The 25645-nt window shown below is 53.3% G+C and overlaps 2 protein-coding genes and 1 pseudogene across 11 annotated transcripts in view, besides 5 other annotated features; 2 read left to right on the forward strand and 1 right to left on the reverse strand.

Annotated features, from left to right (window-relative positions):
- ODAD3 (outer dynein arm docking complex subunit 3) lies at positions 1–15178 on the reverse strand. 4 transcript variants are annotated; one of them, NM_001302453.1, is made up of 13 exons: positions 15086–15178; positions 10295–10416; positions 10095–10172; positions 6269–6436; positions 6079–6180; positions 5842–5967; positions 5540–5662; positions 3273–3425; positions 2097–2257; positions 1867–2023; positions 1073–1228; positions 524–608; positions 1–343 (listed from the first exon to the last, which is right to left on the reverse strand). In NM_001302453.1, the coding sequence occupies exons 1-13, from the start codon at positions 15165–15167 to the stop codon at positions 231–233; spliced, it is 1626 nt and encodes a 541-aa protein (NP_001289382.1). In that variant the 5' UTR covers positions 15168–15178; the 3' UTR covers positions 1–230. The 4 variants fall into 4 exon arrangements, with proteins under 4 accessions (NP_001289382.1, NP_659482.3, NP_001289383.1 ...); NM_145045.5 differs by lacking the exon at positions 15086–15178 and adding an exon at positions 14169–14517; NM_001302454.2 differs by lacking the exons at positions 6079–6180; positions 10095–10172; positions 15086–15178 and adding an exon at positions 14169–14517.
- Positions 770–819: an enhancer, noted in NCBI's record as "active region_14016". NCBI's record gives its function as "activates an Ori minimal core promoter by ATAC-STARR-seq in GM12878 lymphoblastoid cells {active_cell/tissue: GM12878}" and the evidence as "EXISTENCE:reporter gene assay evidence [ECO:0000049][PMID:35858748]".
- Positions 2050–2109: a silencer, noted in NCBI's record as "silent region_10111". NCBI's record gives its function as "represses an Ori minimal core promoter by ATAC-STARR-seq in GM12878 lymphoblastoid cells {active_cell/tissue: GM12878}" and the evidence as "EXISTENCE:reporter gene assay evidence [ECO:0000049][PMID:35858748]".
- Positions 14636–15135: an enhancer, noted in NCBI's record as "H3K27ac-H3K4me1 hESC enhancer chr19:11546061-11546560 (GRCh37/hg19 assembly coordinates)". NCBI's record gives its function as "activates a minimal SCP1, AML or CMV promoter by ChIP-STARR-seq in naive H9 embryonic stem cells {active_cell/tissue: H9 hESC(naive)}" and the evidence as "EXISTENCE:reporter gene assay evidence [ECO:0000049][PMID:30033119]".
- Positions 14709–15118: an enhancer, noted in NCBI's record as "active region_14017". NCBI's record gives its function as "activates an Ori minimal core promoter by ATAC-STARR-seq in GM12878 lymphoblastoid cells {active_cell/tissue: GM12878}" and the evidence as "EXISTENCE:reporter gene assay evidence [ECO:0000049][PMID:35858748]".
- PRKCSH (PRKCSH beta subunit of glucosidase II) overlaps positions 15031–25645 on the forward strand; it is a 15334-nt gene continuing 4719 nt past the window's right edge. For 3 of the 7 annotated variants that reach the window (NM_001289103.2, NM_001379609.1, NM_001379608.1), the window contains exons 1-8: positions 15031–15106; positions 15437–15592; positions 15785–15901; positions 17272–17367; positions 17463–17520; positions 20636–20753; positions 21782–21911; positions 24785–24869. In NM_001289103.2, coding sequence (NP_001276032.1) covers positions 15514–15592; positions 15785–15901; positions 17272–17367; positions 17463–17520; positions 20636–20753; positions 21782–21911; positions 24785–24869 — 683 coding nt within the window. In that variant the 5' untranslated portion in view covers positions 15031–15106; positions 15437–15513. Of the gene's footprint in view, positions 15107–15436; positions 15593–15784; positions 15902–17271; positions 17368–17462; positions 17521–20635; positions 20754–21781; positions 21912–24784; positions 24870–25645 lie in introns of those variants that run through there. The other 4 variants (NM_001289104.2, NM_001001329.3, NM_002743.3 and 1 more) reach the window with 3 other exon arrangements.
- Positions 15369–15588: an enhancer, noted in NCBI's record as "active region_14018". NCBI's record gives its function as "activates an Ori minimal core promoter by ATAC-STARR-seq in GM12878 lymphoblastoid cells {active_cell/tissue: GM12878}" and the evidence as "EXISTENCE:reporter gene assay evidence [ECO:0000049][PMID:35858748]".
- Positions 18555–18671, forward strand: LOC124904800 (uncharacterized; annotated as a pseudogene).

The raw sequence follows: 25645 nt of genomic DNA on the forward strand, positions 1-25645 counted from the left end.
CATGGTCGGTAACATTTATTGCGCAACTCTGAGGCCGGGGCGGACCCAGCTGGGGAGATTTACTGTGGGAACGTCTGGCCCGGCCCCTTCCTCCCCTCCGGGCGCCGCTGGCCGCCTCCGTTCCCGGTCCGGGCCGCGTTCAGCCCCTGAAGGGGCCCCGTGGGGCCTGCGCTAGACCCGGAGGGATCGGGGGCTCCGAAGGGGGCCGCCTGGTGGGTGTCAGGACGAGTCTAGGACCTCCGAGAGCGACGGTGCTTCTTGTGACTTTCGATTAATTTCTGGGAACGGATCTTGAGTGATGCGCGGGTCACTACCTCGTTGTCCTCCTCCTCACTCTCTTCGTCTAAGGGGGGTGGGGGGATGAGCAGGGAGCGATGTGGGATCCAGGTCCCCATCCCTGGCTCCCCTTCCCTTTACCACCCCACTCCACCCCCACCTTGGCCCTGAACAGGGTATCTGACAACCTCCTGCTACCCAGCTTGGGGCCCCAACCGCACCCCTTCATCCCCCCACCCATACTGACCAAAAAACTTGTCCTTGGAAGTGGCAAGGGGCAGGGCGATGCGGGTGTTGTATTCGGGCAGCCTTCCCTCTAAGCTGGCGAGGAACTAAGCGGGGATGGGAAGCGAGAGAGGAAGGTGGGCGGGGCCAGGGGCCACCGAGAAGTCACGTTCCCCCTCCTCCCTACCCCATTCCGAGATATGCCCTAGTTCCAACTGGAGACCACTGCCCACTCCCATCCCTCCTTAAGCAGGCACCTTGATACCCAGCTTCACCCCCTCATCACTCAGGTCCGCCCCTGGTCTCTGGGGCCCTGCCACTAGGCCTCTCCCCATCCGGATACCCCAGCCGCGTCCTCTAGCCTCACAGGACCCGCCTGCACCTCTTCTGGTTTCTTCCCTCGTGGCTCGGGCTCACCCCTGGCTCGTCAAACCTCGCCCGTTGTCCCCGAGACCCCTTCCTGGCTGATCAGCCTGCAATCTGGTCTCCCGAAGTTGCCCCCGGTTCCCTGGTTTTCCGACCCAGCCCTACTCCTAGATCTCTGGAGCTCTGCCCCATGGCTGCAGGGCACCTCGCGGTTAGCGATGTGGCACAGCATCTCCTGCACGTCGTGGCCCTGGAGCTGCGCCTGCAGTTTCAGCAGCTTTTCCTCCACGAGGCCCAGCAGGTTTGGCACATAGTTATCTGCCTGGGGATCCAGCTCCTTTCCCGCGAAGCGGCCGTCCTCCTGCGGCCAGGGTAGAGCCGGGTCAGCCGAGAGGGGTGGGGCCTCTTGGAAGGCTCCACCCAGGGGCGGGGCTTTTCTTTCGGGGGCGGGGCCTAGGAGGTAAGGGCCCACCTGCAGGGTCGATCCTAGCCATTGGGGGCGGGGACTTAGGTCAAGGCCACGTCTGTGATGGGGGAGCCTCTGAACTCTAACTCTATATGTAAAGGTTTCGGGGAGGCCTCTTGGGAACAGTAAGGATTCGAGGGAGGCCATTGTGGGATGGCCTCCTGAAGAAATGGCCCTCTGCTGCGGGCAGGATAGGTCTTCTGTCTCGGGCTGCTCCAGAACTGCAGATAGGTCTCCGAGCTTTTCGGGGACAGGGTGGGACTTCTTTCCCTTGGAGGCGGAGCTTGAGACGGGACAGGGTCTCTGACGTCTTGGGCTTCCTTGGGGAGTGAGAGCTTCCCCAGGGAGGTGGGGCGGGGACTCTGAGGAATGGGGTGGGGCTTCCCCTGTGGGCGGGGCCTCTGACGTCCGGGACAGAGGATGTGGCAGGCCACGTTCCCTCGGGCAAGCTGGTGTGGCAGGAACCCCGCTTCGTGGCTGCGCCTCTGCGGTCCCAGGAGGGCCTGTCGGGGCTTCCCCTGGGCGGGGCCTACCACAGTGATGTGGATCAGCTTGCTGGCCAGGTGCTCCAGGCTGTCCTTGGCCACTTGCATCGCCCGCAAGGCGCGCTCCAGCTGGTCCTTGGCCTCGGCGTGCCGCCGCTCCTCCTTCTTGAGACGCTCCTGCGCCTCGGCTTGCAGTTTCTGCTGGCTGCAGGGAGCCGGGAGGTCACCCCGGGGGCTCAGCCCGCCCCGCCGCCCTCCCCAGAGCCCCGGTGCCTCACCTCACCAGCGTGGCCTCCCCCGAGTACTTGAGGTCTTCCAGCTCCCGCTGCAGTTGTTGCTTCTCCTGCTTCAGCCTCACCAACGTCTGCTCGTTCTCGCTCTTGAGCGTCTCCAACTGCGCGAAGGTGTCGCCCTGGGCCAGGAACCGCCGCACCAACGACTGCGGGCCACCCAGCCCCAGTCAGAGCCAGGGCCTAGGGAGCGTAGGGGCGCTCCACCTCCTCTCCCCCACCCTGCGAACCCTCGCACGCAGGACAGGTGGCCTGAGCTGGCGCCTTTTGCACAGCAATGTATGGGGACACTGTGGGTTGGACGCAGGGTTGCTTCAAGGGTGAGCAGCCCTGGATATATCATTTTTGCGGGGCCCTTTCTGGCCTATATAAGGAATTTGAGTCAGCCCAAACTCGGGGGCAACTGGAGAGGCGAGCATAGCTTCTTTCCAAAATCAAAGTGCCATCAATTTCTGGCCGTGAATCTCGCCCGATTCCGCAGGAAATACCGCCCGTCTTCGGAGCCATCCGCTCACAAGGCCCACATCTGGAAAGGGGCTGCGCCTCAGTGCCCCAGATGACCCCATAGGTGTACTCCTATAGGTGGGAGTCCCGGAAGTCATCAGGGGTCGGCCCCATCGGAGGAGCAGCAGGTTGGCGGACACCCAGAGGGGAGAAACAGGGTTGGGGTCCAGTGTTCACCGGCGGGAACCAGGACCCAAGGGGGACACAGCGGTCTTAGAATAATGCAAGGAAGACTTTACAGTGAGGGACCCGGCGCAGGGACCCCACTTGCCAGGATCTGAGGATGGTACTGGGCGGTCCACTGGGTCCCAGACCATGTTACAGACACTGGAGACAGAACAAGAGACGAAACTCCCAGTTCTCCTAGAGCTGGCATGGCAAAGGAGTTAGCATGGTGCAAGAGAGAACGGAAGGCGAGTGTAGAAATGACGGCGAGTGTAGACAGCTCCTAGGGGTTTTGCTGCGAAGGGCAGCAGAAAAACTGAACGGTAGCTGGAGGGGGAAGGGATGTTTTTCAAGAAAGGAGCAGGTTTGTGAGCTGAATAACCGACCTGGCAGAGAGGGGAGACAGGGTGTGTCGGTTTCACCGGCTTAGGCACCCCTGGGGCCCGTCTGGGGTGGGGGGGGGGCGCGGCGGAGAGGGCTGCGGGCAGAACTCACGTGCGTCTCGTCAGTGCCAGTGGCGTCCTTGACCTTGCCAAAGATCACCTCCATCTGGTACATGCTCCAGCGCTGCCGCAGCTCCTCCTCCTTGGCATGCAGGCTGTCCTGGATGGTGTCGTCGGACTGTAGCAGCAGGTGCTCGCGGTGGGTCTGCTCGTGGGTTGAGGTCAGAGCCAGGGTCAGCTGGTGGACAGCGCTTGGGAAGGAGGCCGGGGAGGGGGATCCAGATAGGGGCCCGCGAGGAACAGGGCTCAAACTGGAGGGAAGGGAGAGGGCAAAAGCTTGGGGCCAGATAAAGGCACCCGGGCAGGTGTCAAGAAAGTGGGACAAGGTCGGGCGCGGGGGCGGTGGCTGTGGCTCACGCCTTTAATTCCAGTACTTTAGGAGGCTGAGGCGGGAGGATTGTTTGAGCCCAGGGGTTCGGGACCAGCTTGGACAACACGGCGAGACCCCGTCTCTACAAAAAACACCAAAATTAGCAGGGCGTGGTGGGGCGCCTGAAGTCCCAGCTACTTGGGAGGCTGAGGTGAGAGGATCACTTGAGCCCAGGAGGTCGAGACTGCAGTGAGCTATAATTAGTCTGAGCGACAGAGACCGTGTCTCAAAAAAAAATCCATATATATATGTATATATGTATATATATGTATATATGTATATATGTGTATATATACCTATGTGTATATATGTATATATGTGTATATATACCTATGTGTATAAATATATATGTGTATATATACCTATGTGTATATATGTATATATGTGTATATATACCTATGTGTATATATGTATATATGTGTATATATACCTATGTGTATATATGTATATATGTGTATATATACCTATGTGTATATATGTATATATGTGTATATATACCTATGTGTATATATGTATATATGTGTATATATACCTATGTGTATATATGTATATATGTGTATATATACCTATGTGTATATATGTATATATGTGTATATATACCTATGTGTATATATGTATATATGTGTATATATACCTATGTGTATATATGTATATATGTGTATATGTACCTATGTGTATATATGTATATATGTGTATATGTACATATGTGTATATATGTATATATGTGTATATGTACATATGTGTATATGTATATATGTGTATATATACATATGTGCATATATACATATGTGTATATATGTGTATATGTGTATATATGTATATGTGTATATGTACATATGTGTATATATGTATATATGTGTATATGTACATATGTGTATATGTGTATATGTACATATGTATATATACATATGTGTATATGTACATATGTGTATATATACATATGTGTATGTGTACATATGTGTATATATGTGTGTATATGTACATATGTGTATATATGTATATGTACATATGTGTATATGTGTGTATATGTACATATGTGTATATATGTGTATGTGTACATATGTGTATATGTACATATGTGTATATATGTATATATGTGTATATGTACATATGTGTATATATGTGTGTATGTACATATGTGTATATGTATATATACATATATGTGTATATACACATATGTGTATATGTATATATACATATATGTGTGTGTATATATGTATATATGTGTGTATATATGTATATATGTATATATGTGTGTATATATGTATATATGTATATATGTGTGTATGTATGTATATATGTATATATGTGTGTATGTATGTATATATGTATGTATATGTGTATATATGTGTGTGTATATATGCATATATGCATATATGTATATATATGTATATACGTATATATATATATATATATGCAAAAAAAACCTATCAAACAACAACTACAACAACAACAACCCAAAAAACAAAAAGGCAGGACAGGGCTTTGGTGAGGGCTGGATGGGAGGCAGCCTCAGGGCAGGTGCAGGGGCGGGGCCAAGAGTGAGGGGGCAGGGCCTTAGGCAACGGTTGGCTCAGAGGCACGGTCAGATTCAGGACAGGCAGTCTAGTCAGGTGGGAAAGGATGGGTAGGGGGGTCACTGAGTAAGGGGAAGGCTGGAGGCCATGTCAGAGCCAAAATGGTGCAGTCGCTTAGGAGGGGAGGGGAGGAGAGGCGGGGTCAGGGATGTGGGAGGGGTCTTCGCACCAAGTGGGGGTGGAGTCAGAGAGGGGGCGGGGTTAGGAGAAACAGAAAATGGGAGAAGGCCTAGGATGAGGGAGAGCCAGGGCATGGCTGGTTTGTGCTGGGCTGGGCTGGAGTCACAGGCGCGCACCCCTGGGTGCGCCCACCTTGCGCTCCATGCGCTCGTTCTCCAGTTTCTTCTCCTCGGCGCGCTTCTTGCACTCACTTATGTAGCGTTCCCGCTTCTTGCGCTCTCGAACCAAGGTCTCCTCTAGGTACTGCAGCTGGTTCTGGAGGGCGGGCAGGGTAGCAGGGAGACCAGCTGGCACCTACCACTGCCCGCCGCAGGGTGCTGGGAGATAGATGGGGGCGGGGGCGTAGGGGAAGCTCAGGGACAGCTGAGGTCAGATTCTCAAGCTGGGAGACCGCGGCAGCTGGGCAGGATGGCCGAGGGCAAGAGGGGTGGCACCTTGGCAATGTCCCGGGCATTGAGGGCCTCTTGGTTCACCACGTGCAGTGCCTCCAGCTCATGTTTGGTCCTCACCACCTCAGCCTCCATGGAGTCCAGCCGGTTCTCCAAGTTGAGGCTCTCGTCCTGGGGCGTGGTGGGGAGGGGTAGCGGAGATGGTGCAGGTCTGTGACTGCTGTCCCTAGCCAAGCCCGCCCTCCCTGTTTGTCATCTCACCCGAGCCCTCCTAGTCCCTACCATTAGATAGGCCTTGAGCTGCAGGTACACGCTGGTAATGTGCTCGGCCTCCTGCGCCTTCATCTGGGCCTTCTCCAGGCGGTTCTCCAGGTTCCGCATGGTCTGGAGAGCAGCAGGGCTGGGCTGAGGGCCCTCCGCACTCAATCCCTCCCACACGACCCTCTGCCCTGCAGGCCTCACCCGCCCCTACCTTGGCCACCTCCGTGTGTCTGTTTTGCGCCTCCGCCATCTCCAGAAGGCGCAGGCTGTGCTGCAGCTGGAGCTCCTCCAGCCGCCTCTGCCGCAACACCACCTGGTGCCGCAGGGCGTTCTGCTGCTTCACCTTCTCCCTCAGCCGGTGGTCTAGGTGCTCCAGGGCCTGCCGCAAGGAGGGGAGCGAAAGCAGGAGCCTCAACACCCTACCCCGACACACACCTAGCCCTTCCTCCCTTCCTTCTCCCACACTGTGGCTTCCAGGACTCCCCTCTCCCGTTTTCTACCCACCTCCCTGGCCACCCCTTCTGTGTTGTTTTTGTAGAGAGAGCACCGGAGTCTTCTCTCTGTCTATATCGACCACCTTGGCGATCTTACACCGGCTCAGGGTTCTAAAAAAATATTTTTAAATTTTTCTTTCTTTCGTTTTTTTTTTTTTAGACGGAGTCTTGCTCTGACACCCAGGCTGGAGTGCTGTGGTGCAATCTCGGCTCACTGCAACCTCCTCCTCCTGGGTTCACGCCATTCTCCTGCCTCAACCTCCCGAGTAGCTGGGATTACAGGTGCCCACCACCACGCCTGGCTAATTTTTGTTTTTGTTTTCTTTTCTTTTTTTTTTTTTTTTGAAACGGAGTCTCGCTCTGTCGCCCAGGCTGAAGTGTAGTGGCACGATCTCGGCTCACTGCAACTTCCATCTCCTAGGTTCAAGCAATTCTCCTGCCTCAGCCTCCCAAGTAGCTGGGATTACAGGCATGTGCCACTACACCCGGCTAATTTTTGTATTTTGGGTAGAGACAGGGTTTCACCACGTTGACCAGGCTGGTCTCAAACGCCTGACTTCAGGTGATCCACCTGCCTCGGCCTCCGAAAGTGCTGGGATTACAGACGTGAGCCACCTCACCCAGCTATCTTCTGGCCATTTTTTTCTTTTAAAAAATGTTTTAGGCTGGGCGCGGTGGCTCCCGCCTGTAATCCCAGCACTTTGGGAGGCCAAGGCGGGTGGATCACGAGGTCAGGACATCGAGACCATCCTGGCTAACACGGTAAAACCCCGTCTCTACTAAAAATACAAAAAATTAGCCGGGCATGGTGGCAGGCGCCTGTAGTCCCAGCTACTCAGGAGGCTGAGGCAGAAGAATGGCGAGAACCCGGGAGGCGGAGCTTGCAGTGAGCCAAGATCGTGCCACTGCACTCCATACTGGGCGACAGTGCGAGACTCTGTCTCAAAAAAAAAAAAAAATTATAGAGGCAGGGTCTCGCTATGTGGCTCAGGCTGGTCGCGAATTCCTGGGCCCAAGCCATCCTCCTTCCTCGGCCTCCCAAAGTGCTGAGATTACAGGCAAGAGCCACTGCACCCAGCCCAGTTTTGTTTTGTTTTGTTTTTTGAGATGGGGTCTCACCCTGTCACTCAGGCTGGAGTGCAGTGGCTCGATCTTGGCTCACTGCAACCTCCGCCCCTTGAGCTCAAGTGATCCTTCCTCCTCAGCGTCCTCAGTTGCTGGGACCACAGATGCATGCCACGACGCCTGGGTACGTTTTTGTATTTTTGGTAGAGACAGGGTTTCATCATGTTGCCCAGGCTGGTCATGAACTTCTGAGCTCAAGTGATCCACCTGCCTTGGCCTCCCAAAGTACTAGGATTACAGACGTGAGCCATCACGCCCAGCCTTTTAATTTTTATAATTATTTTTTCAGACAAGGCCTTGCTTTGTCACCCGGACGGGAGTGCAGTGGCACGAACATGACTCACTGCAGCCTCGACCTCCCCAGTTCAGGTGATCCTCCCACCTCAGCCTGGCAAGTAGCTGGGACTACAATCCTGTGCCACCACATTTGGCAAATCTTCTGTATTTGTTGTAGAGTCAAAGTTTCACTATGTTGGCAGGCTGGTCTCAAACTCTTGGGCTCAAGTGATCCTCCAGCCTTGGCCTCCCAAAGTGCTGGTATTACAAGGCATGAGCCACCATGCCTAGACTGTGTTTTATTTTTTATTTATTTATTTATTTATTTATTTATTTATTTATTTATTTTGAGACAGAGTTGCCCAGGCTGGAGTGCAATGGCATGATCTCGGCTCACAGCAACCTCCACCTCCCGGGTTCAAGGGATTCTCCTGCGTCAGCCTCCTGAGTAGCTGGGATTACAAGCATGCACCACCATGCCCGGCTAATTTTTTGTATTTTTAGTAGAGACGGGGTTTCGCCATGTTGGCCAGGCTGGTCTCAAACGCCCGACCTCAGGTGATCCGCCCGCCTCAGCCTCCCAAAGTGCTGGGATTACAGGCGTGAGCCACCGCGCCCGGCCTTTAATTTTTTATCTTTTGTTTTTGTTTGTTTGTTTGTTTTTGTTTTTTTGAGACAGAGTCTCGCTCTGTCACCCAGGTTGGAGTGCAGTGGCACCAGTCTCAGCTCACTGCAAGCTCCGCCTCCCGGGTTCAAACTGTTCTCCTGCCTCAGACTCCTGAGTAGCTGGGACTACAGGCGCCCACCACCATGCCTGGCTAATTTTTTGTATTTTTATTTTTATTTTATTTTTTATTTATGTATTTATTTTTGAGACAGAGTCTCACTCTGTCGCCCAGACTGGAGTGCAGTGGTGCGATCTCAGCTCACTGCAACTTCTGCCTCTTGGGTTCAAGCAATTCTGTGCCTCAGCCTCCTGAGTAGCTGGGATTACAGGTGCCTGCCACCACACCTGGCTAATTTTTGTATTTTTAGTAAAAACAGGGTTTCACCATCTTGGCCAGGCTGGTCTAGAACTCCTGACCTTGTGATCCACCCACCTCGGCCTCCCAAAGTGCTGGGATTACAGGCATGAGCCACCGCGCCCGGCCTTTTGTATTTTTAGTAGAGACGGGGTTTCACCGTGTTAGCCAGGATGGGCTCGATCTCCTGACCTCGTGATCCACCCGCCTCGGTTTCCCAAAGTGCTGGGATTACGGGCGTGAGCCACCGCGCCCAGCCTTTTTTTTTTTTTTTTTTAAAGAAACAGGTTGTACTGTCACTCAGGCTGGAGTGCAGTGGTGCAATTGTGGCTCATTATAGTCTCAAACTTCTAGGCTCATGCAATCCTCCAGCCTCAGCCTCCTGAATAGCTGGGATTACAGGCATGTGCCACTGGTCATTGTTTTCGTTTGTTTGTTTTGAGACTGAGTCTCACTCTGTCTCCCAGGCTGGAGCACAGTGGCACAACCTCAGCTTACTACAACCTCTGCCTCTTGGGTTCAATGACTTTTAAAATGTTTTATTTTTTTTAATTATTTTTATTTTATTTATTTTTTGAGACGGAGTTTCGCTCTTGTTGCCCAGGCTGGAGTGTAATGGCACAATCTCGGCTCACTGCAACCTCTGCCTCCCGGGTTCAAGCGATTCTCCTGCCTCAGCCTCCCGAGTAGCTGGGATTACAGGCACGTGCCATCATGCCCAGCTAAGTTTTGTATTTTTAGTAGAGACAGGGTTTCTCCATGTTGGTCAGGTTGGTCTTGAACTCCCGACTTCAGGTCATCTGCCCGCCTTGGCCTCCCAAAGTGCTGTGATTACAGACGTGGGCCACCGCGCCTGGCTGTGATGTTTTTTTTTTTAACTTGTTTTCCCTATTAGGATATGAGCTGTTTTTAGAAGTGGAGACTTGGTCTGCTTTTTCACTGCATTTACTACCATGCCAGGATGCCAGATACAAGGAAAGTGAGTAATAAAGATTTAATTGAATGAGCACATGAATGGCAGCTAGTGTGCAGGAAGGATTGGAGAGGGTGAGCCTGGAGTCCAGTGGTGAGGGGACCCAGGCTGGAAATGAAGGAGGAGGTGGGGCGAGGGTGGGCAAACCTGTCCTGTCCTGTTCTTCAGGTATGGCTTCTCCCACTTCCATTCGCGAATCACTGCCTGGACCACTTTCTCATCTCCCTGCAAGGAGGGAAGTCCAGTCACCTTTCAGCATGCCACCTCCAGCTAAGGCCAGGTGCTACCTACTTGTCCCCCACCATCCACCGCCACGGGAACCCTACACCCACCCCTTTGCCCCTTACCTTGAGCAGGTCCAGCAGCTTTAGTTCCAGTGCCTTAGTCTCCTTGCGGAGCTGACTGATGGTCTCCTGGTTCTTCTTGATGTTCCACTGAGAGCTCTCAAAAAAAGCCTTCCGGTCACCCTCTGGCAGGCAGGTGAGGTGGACAGACACACAGTTACTGGGTGGGTGCATGGGTGCAACATCCCAGAGGAAAGACCTTTTTTGCAATCATCAACTTTTTTTTTTTTTTTGAGATGGAGTTTCACTCTTGTTGCCCAGGCTGCAGTGCAATGGTGCAATCTCGGCTCACCACAGCCTCCGCCTCCCGGGTTCAAGAGATTCTCCTGCTTCAGCCTCCCAAGTAGCTGGGATTACAGGCATGTACCACCACACCTGGCTAATTTTGTATTTTTAGTAGACATGGGGTTTCTCCATGTTGGTCAGGCTGGTCTCGAACTCCTGACCTCAGGTGTTCCCAAAGTTCTAGGCCCCCTAAAGTCCTAGGATTATAGGTGTGAGCCACTGTGCCAGGCTCATCAACTTAATATTATAAGAATGCAGTCGTTGACCAGCCTGGCCAACATGGTAAAACCGCATCTCTACTAAAAATACAAAAATTAGCCAGGTGTGAGGCTGAGCATGATGGCTCGTTCCTGTAATCCTTGCACTTTGGGAGGTAGAGGCGGGCGGATCACCTGAGGTCAAGAGTTCAAGATCAGCCTGGCCAACATGGTGAAACCCCATCTCTACAAAAATACAAAAATTAGCTGGGCATGGCCGGGCACGGTGGCTCACGTCCATAATCCCAGCACTTTGGGAGGCCAAAGTGAGCGGATCACGAGGTCAGGAGATCGAGACCATCCTGGCTAACATAGTGAAATCCCGCCTCTACTAAAAATACAAAAAAAAAAAAAAATTAGCCGTGCATGGTGGCAGGCACCTGTAGTCCCAGCTACTCAGGGGACTGAGGCAGGAGAATGGTGTGAACCTGGGAGGCAGAGCTTGCAGTGAGCCGAGATCGCACCACTGCACTCCAGCCTGGGTGACAGAGCGAGACTCTGCCTCAAAAAAAAAAAAAAAAAAAAATTAGCCGGGCATGATGGTGGGTGCCTGTAATCCCAGCTACAGGAGGCTGAGGCACAATAATTACTTGACCTCTGGAGGTGGAGGTTGCATTGAGCTGAGATCCTGCCACTGCACTCCAGCCTGGGCAACAGAGCAAGACTCTGTCTCAAAAAACAAAACAAAACAAAACAAAAAACCCCAAAATCCTTCCATACTCAAGTCCCACAGTCAGCCCTGTGGAACCTGCAGATACAAACAGTTGTCCCTCTGTATACTCAGGTTTTGCATTCCAGGACTGTTGTATTTTCTTTTCTTTTCTTTTTTGGGACTGGGTCTTGCTCTGTCACCCAGAATGAAGTGCAGTGGTGCTATCACTGCTCACTGAAGCCTCAACCTCCTGAGCTCAAGCAGTCCTCCTGCCTCAGCCTCCCAAGTAGCTAGGACTAGAGGCATGTGCCACCACATCTGGCTACTTTATTTTTTGTAGAGTCAAGGATCTCACTATGTTGCCCAGGCTGGTCTCGAACTCCTGGCCTCTAGCAATCCTCCTGCCTCAGCCTCCCAAAGTGCTGGGATTACAGGTATGAACCACTGTGCCCGGCCTGCCCATCTCAATTTTTTTTAACTTGAAAGGATGAATGATATATGTGAACACATGGTGTTCAACGGTCAACTGTACTTCACTGTGAGCATTTATTATGTGTTGGATGCTGGACTAAGAGGTTTCCGAATGCCATATATCACGTGCCAATAGGTATCCATGGCATACGCATATCATACCCCTTGCACAGATGACAAGACAGAGGCTTGGGCTGATTAAACTGCTTAAGGTCACAAGCAACCATGCAAGATTACCCTTTTTTTTTTTTAAGACGGAATCTCACTCTGTCACCCAGGCTGGAGTGCAGTGGCGCAATCCTGGCTCACCGCAACCTCCACCTCCTGGGTTCAAGCCCCTCTCCTGCCTCAGCCTTCCAAGTAGCTGGGATTACAGGCGTGCGCCACCATGCCCGGCTAATTTTTGTACTTTTAGTAGAGATGGGGTTTCACTATGTTGGCCAGGCTGGTCTCAAACTCCTGACCTCAAATGATCCGCCCACCTCAGCCTCCCAAAGTGCTGGGATTACAGGTGTGAGCCACCTCGCCCAGCCATGATTACCTCTTAATAATATCAACAAAAGCAATAATAATAGCTTACACACAAGGATTCTGCAACCTCAGGATGACCAACAACTGGGCCGAATAATTATTTGCCGTGGGGTGCTCTCCTGTGTTTTGCAGAATGTTGGGCAGCATCTTCAACTCTGCCCACTAGATGCCAGTGGCAGACACACACCCACAACAGACATCCATGCCACCATGCCCGGCTAATTTTTTGTATTTTTAGTAGAGACAGCGTTTCACCGTGTTGGCCATGCTGGTCTCAATGTCTTAGGACATTGCCAAATGGCCCCTGTGGGGCAAACCAACCCTTTTCCAACAAGAACCACTGGTTTACACCTTATGGTACTTTGCTATGTGCCAGGCACTGTTCTAAGCACTTTACACATTTCAGGTACCTATGTTGTACTGTTACTATCCCCATTTCACACATCGAGAAACTGAGAACAATTAGGTTACTCTTAGTCCCCCAAGGTTGGACAACTATTATGCAGAGCCAGGATTCCAACCCAGAAAATCTGGCTCTAAAAATCTATGCTCAGGCCAGGTGCAGCGGCCCATGCCTGTAACCCCAGCACTTTGGGAGGCTGAGGAGGAAGGATTGCTTGAGCCCAGGAGTTTGAGACCAGCCTGGGCAGCATAGTGAGACCCCATCTCTACAAAAAGTAAGAAAATTAGCCAAGCACAGTGGTGTATGCCTGTAGTCCCAGCTACTCAGGAGGCTGAGGTGGAAGGATCGCTTGAGCCTAGGAGGTCAAGTCTGCAGTGAACTGTTATCCAACCACTACACTCCAGCCTCAACAGCAGAGCAAGACCCTGTCAGAAAGAAAGAAGGCTGGGCGCGGTGGCTCACACATGTAATCCCAGCACTTTGGGAGCCAAGGCCGTGGATCACTTGAGATCAGGAGTTCGAGACCAGCCTGGCCAACATGGTGAAACCCAGTCTCTACTAAAAATATAAAAATTAGGTGTGGTGGCACGCACCTATAGTCCCAGCTAGTCAGGAGGCTGAGGCTCGAGAATCGCTTGAACCTTGGAGGCAGAGGTTGCAGTGAGCCGAGATCATGCCACTGCTCTCCAGCCTAGGCGACAGAGCAAGACCCTGTCTCAAAAAACAAAAAACAAAACAAAAAAAAACGCGGGTGCAGTGGCTCACGCCTGTAATCCCAGCAGTTTGGGAGGCCGAGGCGGGCTCACGCCTGTAATCCCAGCAGTTTGGGAGGTCAAGAGATTGAGACCACCCTGGCCAATATGGTGAAATCCCTCTGTACTAAAAATACAAAAATTAGTTAGGCGTGGTGGCGTGTGCCTGTAGTCCCAGCTACTCAAGAGGCTGAGGCAGGAGAATCGCTTGAACCCGGGAGGCGGAGGTTGCAGTGAGCCGAAATCGTTCCACTGCACTCCCACCTGGCAACAGAGTGAGATTCTGCCAAAAAAAAAAAAAAAAATAGAGAAAATAAATTACAAGAAAGTATGAAGTACAGTTCAGTCGGTTCTGAACCCATGAGAAGTTTTAAGAGACAGAGAAGGAAAAACATGAACTAAGTATGAGTTTTTGCCCAGAAACGGTTTACCTAGACTCATGCTGGAGAAATACCTTTGTCACACCATGAAGATTGGATGGGCACTGTTGACCCCTGACCCTCTGTACCCTCTGGAGCCATCTTACCTAACAGTTGTATCTTTTTATGTAACTCAGCCACCTGAGAGTGCACAGAGGGCTTCCCTGCACCTCTGTGGAAGGATCCTCCCTTGGAACGGCCTGGGGTCCACGCCTGGGCTGTGCCCTTGCCTCGGAGGTGGCTGGGTTTGCCCGAAGCCTCCCTGCCCTTGACCCTGGAAGAGGGCGTCGAAGCCTGGTCCTGAGGAGGCAGGGCGTTGGCGGAGGCCGCCCTGCACAGAGGAGATGTCATGATGGGGTTGGGGCTGAAGGCCCCTAGGGGTTAGGGGGATAACTAGGAGTCAGTCGCCCCTGTCAGGGATCCGTCAGCTCGGATTCCTAGGGCTCTGAAAAATGCACTTTCCGACCGCTAGGTGGTTGCGCTCCGCATCTCTCGGTTGCCAGGTAACCGCCTCCCCGTCTCTCTCCACTGTTTCCATGGAGATCACCCGCGTTCCGTGGCTGACACTGCGTTCTCATTGGCTGAGGCTGCATAGAGGGGCGGTCCCAACAGTGGGCGGGGTAGAGCCGCGCCGCAGGACGGAGGGTCTGGACACTTTGGGGTCACGTGCTCATTCCGTTTCCCTACCTCCCCCAACCTTATCCCGCCCCTGGGGGTTCGCGGGCATTTTTCAGGAACTTTCTTTCCGGCTTGAGAAGCCGCCACTCCCAAGATGGAGGTACGCTGCGCCGCCATTAAGAGCTAGCCCTCAGAACTATCCTCTCTAAGGTTTCACAGTCCTGCCCAAGATGGCCGTCTCGGCTCTGGCACCGCCCCCACTCCTGCCTCTCCCAACATGGCGACCCTGAGTCTCCGTTCCCGGTGCGGAACGTACGACCGGAAGTGACGGGGTCCAGAAATTTCCGCTTTCTTTCTGCAGCAGGAACCGCGGCTGCTGGACAAGAGGGGTGCGGTGGATACTGACCTTTGCTCCGGCCTCGTGTAGGTGTGAACGAGCGGGTGGGAGGGCACCTCAGTTTCTTACAGGGGGCAACCGGAGGGTGCATGTGTGGGTGTGGACGGCGGAGGCTGTTAATCCCTTTGGTCTGTTGGCGGGAATTGGGTCACAATTGGGCACAGGGAGCGGAGGTTTTGAGATCTTGAGATCCTCGCCATTGATTTGAGCAAAGTGAGACTGGCCAGGATTGGGGAGATCGCTGCCCCTCGCCCCCATATCGGAAACAAAGTGAGGCCTCATTGCCTGGAAGCGATGGAGGAATCCAATTGGCTGGAAGTAGCCCTCTCCCACTGACCGGGATCCGCTTTCTTCCTGCAGCGTGAAGACACAGCGCATCTCCCCGCTGTAGGCTTCCTCCCACAGAACCCGTTTCGGGCCTCAGAGCGTCTGGTGAGATGCTGTTGCCGCTGCTGCTGCTGCTACCCATGTGCTGGGCCGTGGAGGTCAAGAGGCCCCGGGGCGTCTCCCTCACCAGTGAGTCCTCCTGTTCACCCTCCCGCCAGGCTGGAGGTGGGAGGGGCCAACATTGGGCCTTAGGGATAGGCATTTACAGCCTTTTGACTCAGTTTCCCGGTAGTGCTCCGCTGGTGGGGATGGGAGGACAGAGGTGGTATTTGGTGGAGAAGGCGCTTACCTGCCCTGGGCTGAGCTTCCTGTACCCCGCAGATCATCACTTCTACGATGAGTCCAAGCCTTTCACCTGCCTGGACGGTTCGGCCACCATCCCATTTGATCAGGTCAACGATGACTATTGCGACTGCAAAGATGGCTCTGACGAGCCAGGTGAGCCTTTTCTCTGTTCATCCATCAGATGTTTATTGAACACTGCTCAGTGCCAGGCCCTGTCTGTGTGACCAAGATACTACCTCTGCTGGCTCCCCTTTGAGTGGGCAGAAACAAGCTCAGAAGTCAGTGGTCAGTGTTATGGCCCCGGGCAGCTGGAGGAGCCCAGAGTCGTCCTCCTCCCAAGCCTCGGGGTCAGAGAAGGCTCCTCCAAGGAGGTGAGGTTTCAGTTGAATCCCGAAGGTGCTGCAGATGGAGGGGTCAACACGGGCAAACCCCTAGAAGTGGGAGACAGGGTGGGGCCAAGAGCAATCCAGCAGGAGACAGAGGTGAAGGGAGACCCTGGCTTTTTGTTTTTGTGTGTTTTGAAGAGACAGGGTCTTGCTTTGTTGCTGAGGCTGGAGTACAGTGGCATGATCGTAGCTCACTGCAGCCTGGAACTCTTGGGCTCAAGTCATCCTCCTGCCTTGGCCTCCCAAAGTGCTGGGGTTACAGGTGTGAGCCACCGTGCCTGGATGAGACCGTGTCTTTGGTTTTGTTTTTGTTTTGAGACGGAGTCTTGCTCTGTTTCCCAGGCTGGAGTGCAGTGGCGCCATCTCGGCTCACTGCAAGCTCCGCCTCCCGGGTTCACACCGTTCTCCTGCCTCAGCCTCCTGAGTAGCTGGGACTACAGGCACCCACCACCACGCCCAGCTAGTTTTTTTTTGTATTTTTAGTAGATACAGGGTTTCACTGTGTTAGCCAGGATGGTCTCGATCTCGTCACCTTGTGATCCACCCGCCTCGGCCTCCCAAAGTGTTGGGATTACAGGCGTGAGCCACCGTACCTGGCCTTGTTTTGTTTTGTTTTTAATTTTTTTTTTTGAGATGGAGTTTCACTCTTATCGCCCAGGCTGGAGTGCAGTGGCATGATCTTGGCTCACTGCAGTCTCCACCTCCCGGGTTCAAGCGATTCTCCTGCCTCAGCCTCCTGAGTAGCTGGGATTACAGGCACATGCCACCACATCCGGCTAATTTTTCGTATTTTTAGTAGAGATGGAGTTTCATCGTGTTGGCCAGGCTGGTCTCAAACTCATCACCTCAGGTGACCCACCCGCCTCGGCCTCCCAAAGTGCTGGGATTACAGGTGTGAGCCCCCGTGCCAGGTGGAGACCCTGTTTTGAAGGGCCTCAGTGAGAAGAGGCAGGAGGCGGCACTGGAGAGCTTTATTTCGAGCCCTGGCTGTGCAGTGTACAACTCTTTCCTTCCTTTGGTTTCCTTTCCTTTCTTGTGCTGTGTGCAGTGTGGGTCAGGGGCTCTTATCTGTGGATGGATGGGACATGTCTGTCCCTGAGCTGACTCCGAAAACCTTCCCTCCCTTCTTCCTCACAGGCACGGCTGCCTGTCCTAATGGCAGCTTCCACTGCACCAACACTGGCTATAAGCCCCTGTATATCCCCTCCAACCGGGTCAACGATGGTGTTTGTGGTAAGTGAAGATGCACCAGGATTCTGGAAAGGTGGTAGAGGGAGGGAGGGAGGAGGCACTGCCAGGTCTGATCTTGGCTTCTGCCTCTGCCACAGACTGCTGCGATGGAACAGACGAGTACAACAGCGGCGTCATCTGTGAGAACACCTGCAAGTACGTGGGTGACAGTACCCCTCCCATCACCCCACCCCAAGACTTTGCCTGGCTCCACCCAGTGAATCGGGCCCACTCTCTCTTCTGCTTTTCTGTATCGGGTTCTCTGTCTGTGCCAGGTGCCTTGTGAATCCTAATCCCCACCTTTCCCTCTAGTCTGGAAGCAGGTAGGATTGTTTCCCGATTCAACAGATGGGGGAACTCAAGTTTAGAAAGGGAAATGACTTCCCCAGGGTCACATAGGAGATAGCAGAGCCGGCACTTGGACTCTAAACTTTCCATTGTCACGCTCTGCAGCAGGTCCTGAAAACCGAAACACCCACAGGCAGGTAAAGTATACAACGGAAGGAGGCCAGGCGCGGTGGCTCACACCTGTAATCCCAGCACTTTGGGAGGCTGAGGCAGGCGGATCACGAGGTCAGGAGATCGAGACCATCCTGGCTGACATGGTGAAACTCCGTCTCACTAAAAATACAAAAAATTAGCTGGGTGTGGTGGCGGGCGCCTGTAGTCCCAGCTACTCGGTGGGCTGAGGCAGGTGAGTGGCGTGAACACGGGAGGCAGAGGTTGCAGTGAGCCGAGATCGCACCACTGCAATCCAGCCTGGGCAACAGAGTGAGACTCCGTCTCAAAAAAAAAGCAAAAAAAAAAAAAGCATACAACAGAAGGAGGCCAAGTATGAGGCAATACGGAGGGGTGGGGATTGTGGCATCTAGGGGAACAGCTGTTCTCAATTCCTGCCAGCTGATCCTTTTGTAGTTCATAGGCATGATGATTTATTTTTATTTATTTATATTTTTTGAGACAGGGTCTCACTCTGTCGCCCAGGCTGGAGTGCAGTGGCGTGATCTTGGCTCACTGCAACCTCTGCCCTTCGGGTTCAAGCAATTCTCACACCTCAGCCTCCCAAGTAGCTGGGAATACAGGCGTACCCCCACCACGCCTGGCTAACTTTTGTATTTTTGGTAGAGATGGTTTCACTATGTTGGCCAGGCTGGCCTCGAACGCCTGACCTCAGGTGATCTGCTCGCCTCAGCCTCCCAAAGTGCTAAGCCGCCGCGCTTGGCCACGATGATTAGGTTTTTATGCACGTGTGAGAGATACGCCTCCCTTAAACCTTGTTGCGACCTTGGCGCATTACCTGTCTGATATGAAAAAATAAGACCCGGCTCATGGTGGCTCCTGCCTGTAATCCCAGCATTTTGGGAGGCTGAGGCAGGAAGACTGCTTGAGCCCAGGAGTTTGAGACCAGCCTGGGCAAAATAGCGATACCCTATCTCTATAAAAAGTAAAAAAAAAAAATTAAAAAGTAAAAATAAAAATTGGAAATTATAATTTAAAAAATTACTGGTTGGGCATGTGGCTCACACCTGTAATCCCAGCACTTTGGGAGGCTAAGGCGAGAGGATCACCTTAACCCAGGAGTTTGAGACCAGCCTGGGCAACACAGTGAGACCCGTCTCAGAAAAATTTTTCTTTTCTTTTTTTTTTTTTTTTTTTTTTTTTTTGTGAGACAGAGTCTCACTCTGTTGCCCAGGCTGGATGGAGTGCAGTGGCGCGATCTCGGCTCACTCTAACCTCTGCCTCCCGGGTTCAAGCGATTCTTCTGCCTTAGCCTCCTGAGTAGCTGGGACTACAGGCATCCACCACCACACCCGGCTAAAATTTGTATTTTTAGTAGAGACGGTGTTTCACAATATTGGCCAGGCTGGTCTCGAACTCCTGACCTCATGATCCACCTGCCTTGGCCTCCCAAAGTGCGGGGATTACAGATGTGAGCCACCATGCCCGGCTGAAAATTTGTTAAAAAATTAGCCGGGTGTGTTGGTGCGTGTCTGTAGTCGCAGGTACTCAGGAGGCTGAGGCAGGAAGATTGCTTGGGCCTGGGAAGCAGAGGTTGCAGTGAGCTAAAAAGTAAAAAAAAAACAAAAAAAACACAAAGTCCTATCAGTTGTTGGCAGATGGTGTAAAACTCTCTGGATTCCACATCTTTTAAATAGAAGGTGGATTGAACACAACCAACACACTTCTTTTTTTTTTTGAGACGGAGTCTCACTCTGTCGCCCAGGCTGGAGTGCAGTGGTGTGATCTCCGCTCACTGCAAGCTCCGCTTCCCGAGTTCATGCCATTCTCCTGCCTCAGCCTCCCGAGTAGCTGGGACTACAGGCACCTGCCGCTACACCTGGCTAATTTTTTTTTTTGTATTTTTAGTAGAGATGGGGTTTCACCGTGTTAGCCCGGATGGTCTCGATCTCCTGACCTTGTGATCTGCCCGCCTCGGTCTCCCAAAGTGCTGGGATTACAGGTGTGAGCCACCGCCCCTGGCCCACACTTTTTTTTGAGTTAGAGTCTCGCTCTGTTGCCCAGGCTGGAGTGCAGTGGCATGATCTTTGCTTACCCCAACCTCCACATCCGGGTTCAAGTGATTCTCTTGCCTCAGCCTCCCGTGTAGCTGGGATTACACCGTGTAGCTGGGCGCCACCACGCCCAGCTAATTTTTGCATTTTCAGTAGAGACAGGGTTTCACCATCTTGGCCAGGCTGGTCTCGAACTCCTGACCTCAGGTGATCCGCCCGCCTTGGCCTCCCAAAGTGCTGGGATTACAGGCATGAGCCACCACGCCCAGCCAACCAACACACTTAGTAACCAGATTGTCTTTTTGTCTGGGAGTCATGATTTCTGTTCTGTCTTCTGTGGTTTTTTTATTTGTTTTAATTATGTGTAAAGACAGGGTCTTTATATGTTGCCCAGGCTGGTTGCGAACTCCTGGGCTCAAGTGATCCTCCTGCCTTGGCCTTTCAAACTGCTGGGATTACAGGCATGAACCACTGCACCCAGCTGATCTCCTGTCTCTTGAGAGTTGATATCTAGCTCCACCTCCTGGCACTCCCTAGTCCCTTCCCTGACCCCAGGGGCTTACAGAACCCACTGTTCCTCTTTCAAGGACAGGAATGAAGGATGCTGATGTTGAGAGAACCTGGGAGGAAGGCTTGCTCTCATCTTTCCCAGCATGGCTTGGTGGGGGGCCACAGCTGGATTGAGCTATTTTGGAAGAGGCAGACCTGGTGGATCCTAAGTGCCCCACTGGTGGTGCCTGTGTGTCTCCGCACCGCAGAGAGAAGGGCCGTAAGGAGAGAGAGTCCCTGCAGCAGATGGCCGAGGTCACCCGCGAAGGGTTCCGTCTGAAGAAGATCCTTATTGAGGACTGGAAGAAGGCACGGGAGGAGAAGCAGGTAAGGAACCCGCGGGGGCTGCCCCAGGGTGATCTGGGCCTTGAGGCCTCATAGTGTGGGCTTGCAAGGCTGGGGAGGGGTTTGCCCCTGACTGCTGTTCTGGGGCAAGTGACTGCCTTTCGGAGCTTTGCTTTCTCAGTTGTGTGCTAGGCGTTTAGTCATTGGCTAAGTATAATAGTTCCCGAGGGGGAGGCTGTCAGCTTAGGTGTTTATCAGGGCCTCGGGCATCAGACTAAAGCAGGCTGGAAGGGCCTCTCTGCCTCCTGGGGATGGGAGGGTTGCTTCTCTGTACCCCGGATCTGTGGTGCCATTGCCTGTAAGATGGGCTGATGACCAGATGACTCCCCAGTTCTGATGTTAGAAAGATAACGTCAGCCAGTAGCAGCTGGATTAATTCCATAGGGTGGGTGCTTTGGGGTCCCTAGGTGTGTGTCTCTCCCTGCCTTGCCTGTGTACTGGGCAGGAGGCTGGAAACCGACCTGGATTTGCCTCAAGGCATTCATTGCTAGTGGGAGGGACAGCCAGCCAGGGCTGCTGGACAAAGGGAAATTCGGGGTAGAGACTTCTTGCCCAGTTCCTCTCCCTCTCTGCCTTGGGGGCAGGAGGCAAGGAAGGCTTCTTGGAGGAGGAGGCCTCTATCTCACATGAAATCTGTTGGGTAATTTGGAGTTAGCCAGGTAGAGTGTTCCAGGCTGAAGGAACAGCATGTTTGAAGAACCGGAGGCAGAAGAGCGTTTAGGGGTCTGAATGTTGTCAGGGCGACTGGATCCTAGTAAGATAGGGATGGGGCAAATGGGGCTGGAGAATCAGGCAGGGGCCTGATTACCTGGGCCCTTGCGGGCTACATTGAGGCGTTTGGGCTTCTCTCCAGAGGGCTACAGGGAACCCCAGCTCGGGAGAGAGACCCAGCTTGGTGTGTGTTTTGGAACATCTCCCTGCTGCCCTGTGGAGTAGAGGCAGGGAGGTAGTAGTCAATGAGGAGGAGGCAGAACAGAGGAGAGCTGGTCTCTTGCCTTCTGCCCACCCAGAAAAAGCTCATTGAGCTACAGGCTGGGAAGAAGTCTCTGGAAGACCAGGTGGAGATGCTGCGGACAGTGAAGGAGGAAGCTGAGAAGCCAGAGAGAGAGGCCAAAGAGCAGCACCAGAAGCTGTGGGAAGGTATGGCAGAAATGGCCAAGGACTCACCTTCAGTCCTGGGTGGGAGCAGGTCTGGGCCTAGGAGTCTCCCGCTCATTATCTGTTGTCAGTTTCAGCAGGTTTTTGATCATGCTGCCCATCGCCTTGTGTGCTTTGAGGTTCGCTTGGATTGTGGCATATGTCAGGAGCCTCCTTTTTAAAAATTGTTTAAATAATTTGTTTTTTGAAACAGCGTCTCCCTCTGCCACCCGGGCTGGAGTACAGTGGCGTGATCTCAGCTCACTGCAACCTCTGCCTCCCAGGTTCAAGCAATTCTTGTGCCTCAGCCTCCTGAGTAGCTGAGATTACAGGCACCTGCCACCACATTTAACTAATTGTTTTGTATTTTTAGTAGAGACGGGGTTTCACAATGTTGGCCAGGCTGGTCCTGAACTCCTGACCTCAAGTGATCCACCTGCCTTGGCCCCCCAGAGTGCTGGGATTACAGGCATGAGCCACCTCGCCCGGCCGCCTACTTCCTTTTAACATCAATGTAGATTTTGTTATATGACTTTAGCAGGACTTAGTTAATCCAGTGACCATTTTTCCTATCAGGTGTTTGGTATTTGTCTTCACTAATTGTAAGAGCTTTTTTGTGGCTGGGCATGGTGGCTCACGCCTGTAATCCCAGCAGTTTGGGAGGCCGAGACGGGCAGATCACCTGAGGTCAGGAGTTCGAGACCACCCTGGCCAACATGGTGAAACGCCATCTCTACTAAAAGAAAAAATTATGGCCGGGCACAGTGGCTCATGCCTGTAATCCCAGCACTTTGGGAGGCTGAGGCAGGCAGATCACGAGGTCAGGAGATTGAGACCATCTTAGCCAACATGGTGAAACCCATCTCTACTAAAAATACAAAAATCAGCTGGACATGGTGGTGTGTGCCTGTAATCCCAGCTACTCGGGAGGCTAAGGCAGGAGAATTGCTTGAACCAGGAAGTTGGAGGTTTTCAGTGAGCTGAGATTGCGCCCCTATATTCCAGCCTGGCAACAGAGTGAGACTCCGTCTCAAAAAAAAAAAAAAAATTAGCCTGGCATGGTGGCATCTGCCTGTGGTCCCAGCTACTTGGGAGGCTGAGGCAGGAGAATCGCTGGAACCCGGGAGACAGAGGTTGCAGTGAGCTGAGATCTCGCCACTGCACTCCAGCCTGGGTGACAAAGCAATACTTCATCTAAAAAAAATAATAAAGAGCTTTTTCTATCTGGGGTTTGGCCCTTTGTCTGCAACTGAAGATTTTTTTTTAGTTTATTTATTTTTGAGATGGAGTCTCACTCTGTCGCCTAGGCTGAAGTGCCAATGGCCCGATCTCTGCTCACTGCAACCTCTACCTCCTGGGTTCAAGTGATTCTCCTGCCTAGGCTTCCTGAGTAGCTGGGATTACAGGCACCTGCCACCACAGCCGGCTAATTTTTGTAGTTTTAGTAGAGACGGGGTTTCACCGTGTTGGCCAGGCTGGTCTTGAACTCCTGACCTCAGGTGGCCTGCTTTGGCCTCCCAACGTGTTGGGATTACAGGCATGAGCCACGGTGCCCAGCTCTGTCTGCAACTGAAGATATTATTTCCCTTCTTCATTTGTTTTTGGTGCTAGAGCCTGGTGTTTTTTGGTAAGGCCACATTGCATGTAGAAAGGGAATTCACTGTCTGGCTCTGTCTGCCCCTGAATCTTTGTCGTGTTGCAAGCTTCCTTTCACTTGGGTCTGGGCAAGCTCAGGCCTGATTTTCCTCAGGATGTGTTCTCAGTGTGGAGCTGTGGAATCAGAGGGAAGCGCCATGTTTTGACCCAGATTCCCAAAGGGTGGCGGGGCTGAGCCAGGGCTCCGAGGGTAGATGGCCTGGATTGGGCCCCAGGCTACACCTCTCACTGGCTAGGTGATTATGGGCAGGTCCCTTCACCCACAGAAAGGTCAGGGACCCCTCAGGCCCTCATCTGTGAGACTCAGAACAGTGTCAGCCGGGTCTCCTGGGACATGCGGGATGTCCTGGGGTGACCTAAGACTCTCTAGAGGAAATACCAGCTGTTTTTATTCTGTTTGTAGAGGACCAAGCTGGAGCTTGGTATACAGTGGGAACTGAATCCTGGTATACAGTAGGAAGTTAATCATTGGAGCCGCTGTTGTGGCTGCTTTCCGCTCTGCTTAGGTTAGAGTAGCGACAGACAAAGGAGGGACTTTTGGGACAGAGGCTCGGTCCCCTTCTGTCCGGCTGGCCCCTCTTCCTGGGAGCAGCCCTGGGGACCCCCAAGATGCCCCCAGGACCGGTCTCCCTCCCTGTATCCTCCCCATCTCCCAGCATCCTTGGCCATGAAGTCTCATTCCTGCCAGCCCTGCCCCGACATGCCTCTGCCAGGTCCTAAACCTAAAGTCTCAGTGGTCGCTCTCCTCTCCCCAACCCCACCTCCCACCTCTGACCGTCTGCGCACTCCATCTGCGTCTCCCCAGAATCTGCCTCTGCTCCGTGCTTCTTCCTCAGTCCCCAGCCTGGGCCAGCCCTTGTTATCACCTGGCTTCTGCCCTCGCCCCCACCTCTGTCCCAACAGTGGCCTGACAGGGCTGCCCTCTGCCACCTGGGTTCCCACCTCCCTGCTCCAGCCCCACCAGTGGCCCTCCTGCCTCTGCACTCCCCACCTTGTCCCGGTCTCCCCCAACACAACCAGGCTTCAACCATTCACCTTGCTCTTCGTCTGTTCTCCCCTGGTAAGGGCAGGGACCTTTGTCTCCTCCACAGTCGTGTCCTCAGGGTCCAGCATGGGGCCAGGCATATAGTAGGCGCTTGGTGGCAAACGACCCTGTGGGGTGCGGGGGCTGATGGGAGCCGGTGGGTGGGCAGGGGGTGACAGAGGTGGCTTCTTTACAGAGCAGCTGGCTGCTGCCAAGGCCCAACAGGAGCAGGAGCTGGCGGCTGATGCCTTCAAGGAGCTGGATGATGACATGGACGGGACGTGAGTGTCCCCTAGTTGGAGCTGCCCACCTTTCCGTGGGCCTGGGTTTCCCTCCCCGCCACCCTCGCCTCTAGAAACCAGCCAGATCCTCCTTGGGTTCCCCCGGCGTGGGGTCCAGGCTGATCCCAAGCCCCGTGTGACCCCGCCTCTTACTCGTGGATGGCCAGGTCCAGGATGCCCTGGGCGAGGAGATAGGGGGACCACCCTCTCCCCAGGAGCTGGGCACAGACCCTCAGCCTCAGGGAGTGTGTCTAGGCATCTAGTGATCGGATGGCTTTTCCCAGCCCCACTACGCTCTGGGGAAAGCCAGACCTGGGTTCGAATCCTGGCTGTGCCTCTGAGCTTGCTGGGTTACCTGGTGGAGGGTGGACTTTTGGGGGCTGAGAGGCACACGGGGAGCCTAGGAGATGTCAGGTGCCAAGGAGCAGGGGGCTTCAGAGGGACCGAATGGGCAAGGGTGGGGGTGGGCTTTGCTGGGTGGGGGACCAAGGCAGATGGCAGCTTCAATGTGCCGGGTCCTGGGGTGGAAGGAGGTGCCACCTGGGTGAGTTGGTAGAGAGGTCATCGGACATTTGGGGGTCCAGGTATCTCCCAGTCCCACCCCTTACTTTGAGCTCCTTTGGGGTCATGGAGTCCTGAGGAGGGGGCAGGAGGGTGGGGAGGCCCCTACACCTTGAGGTCCTGAAGCAAGTTCCAGGGTGGGGCCCTGCAGGGAAGAACAGGTGGGCCACATGGTGCCCCCAACTGAGAGCCACTGGGGCCTCACCCCTCCAGTC

This window comes from Homo sapiens, chromosome 19 (assembly GCF_000001405.40).
Source record: "Homo sapiens chromosome 19, GRCh38.p14 Primary Assembly".
Taxonomy (NCBI): domain Eukaryota; kingdom Metazoa; phylum Chordata; class Mammalia; order Primates; family Hominidae; genus Homo; species Homo sapiens.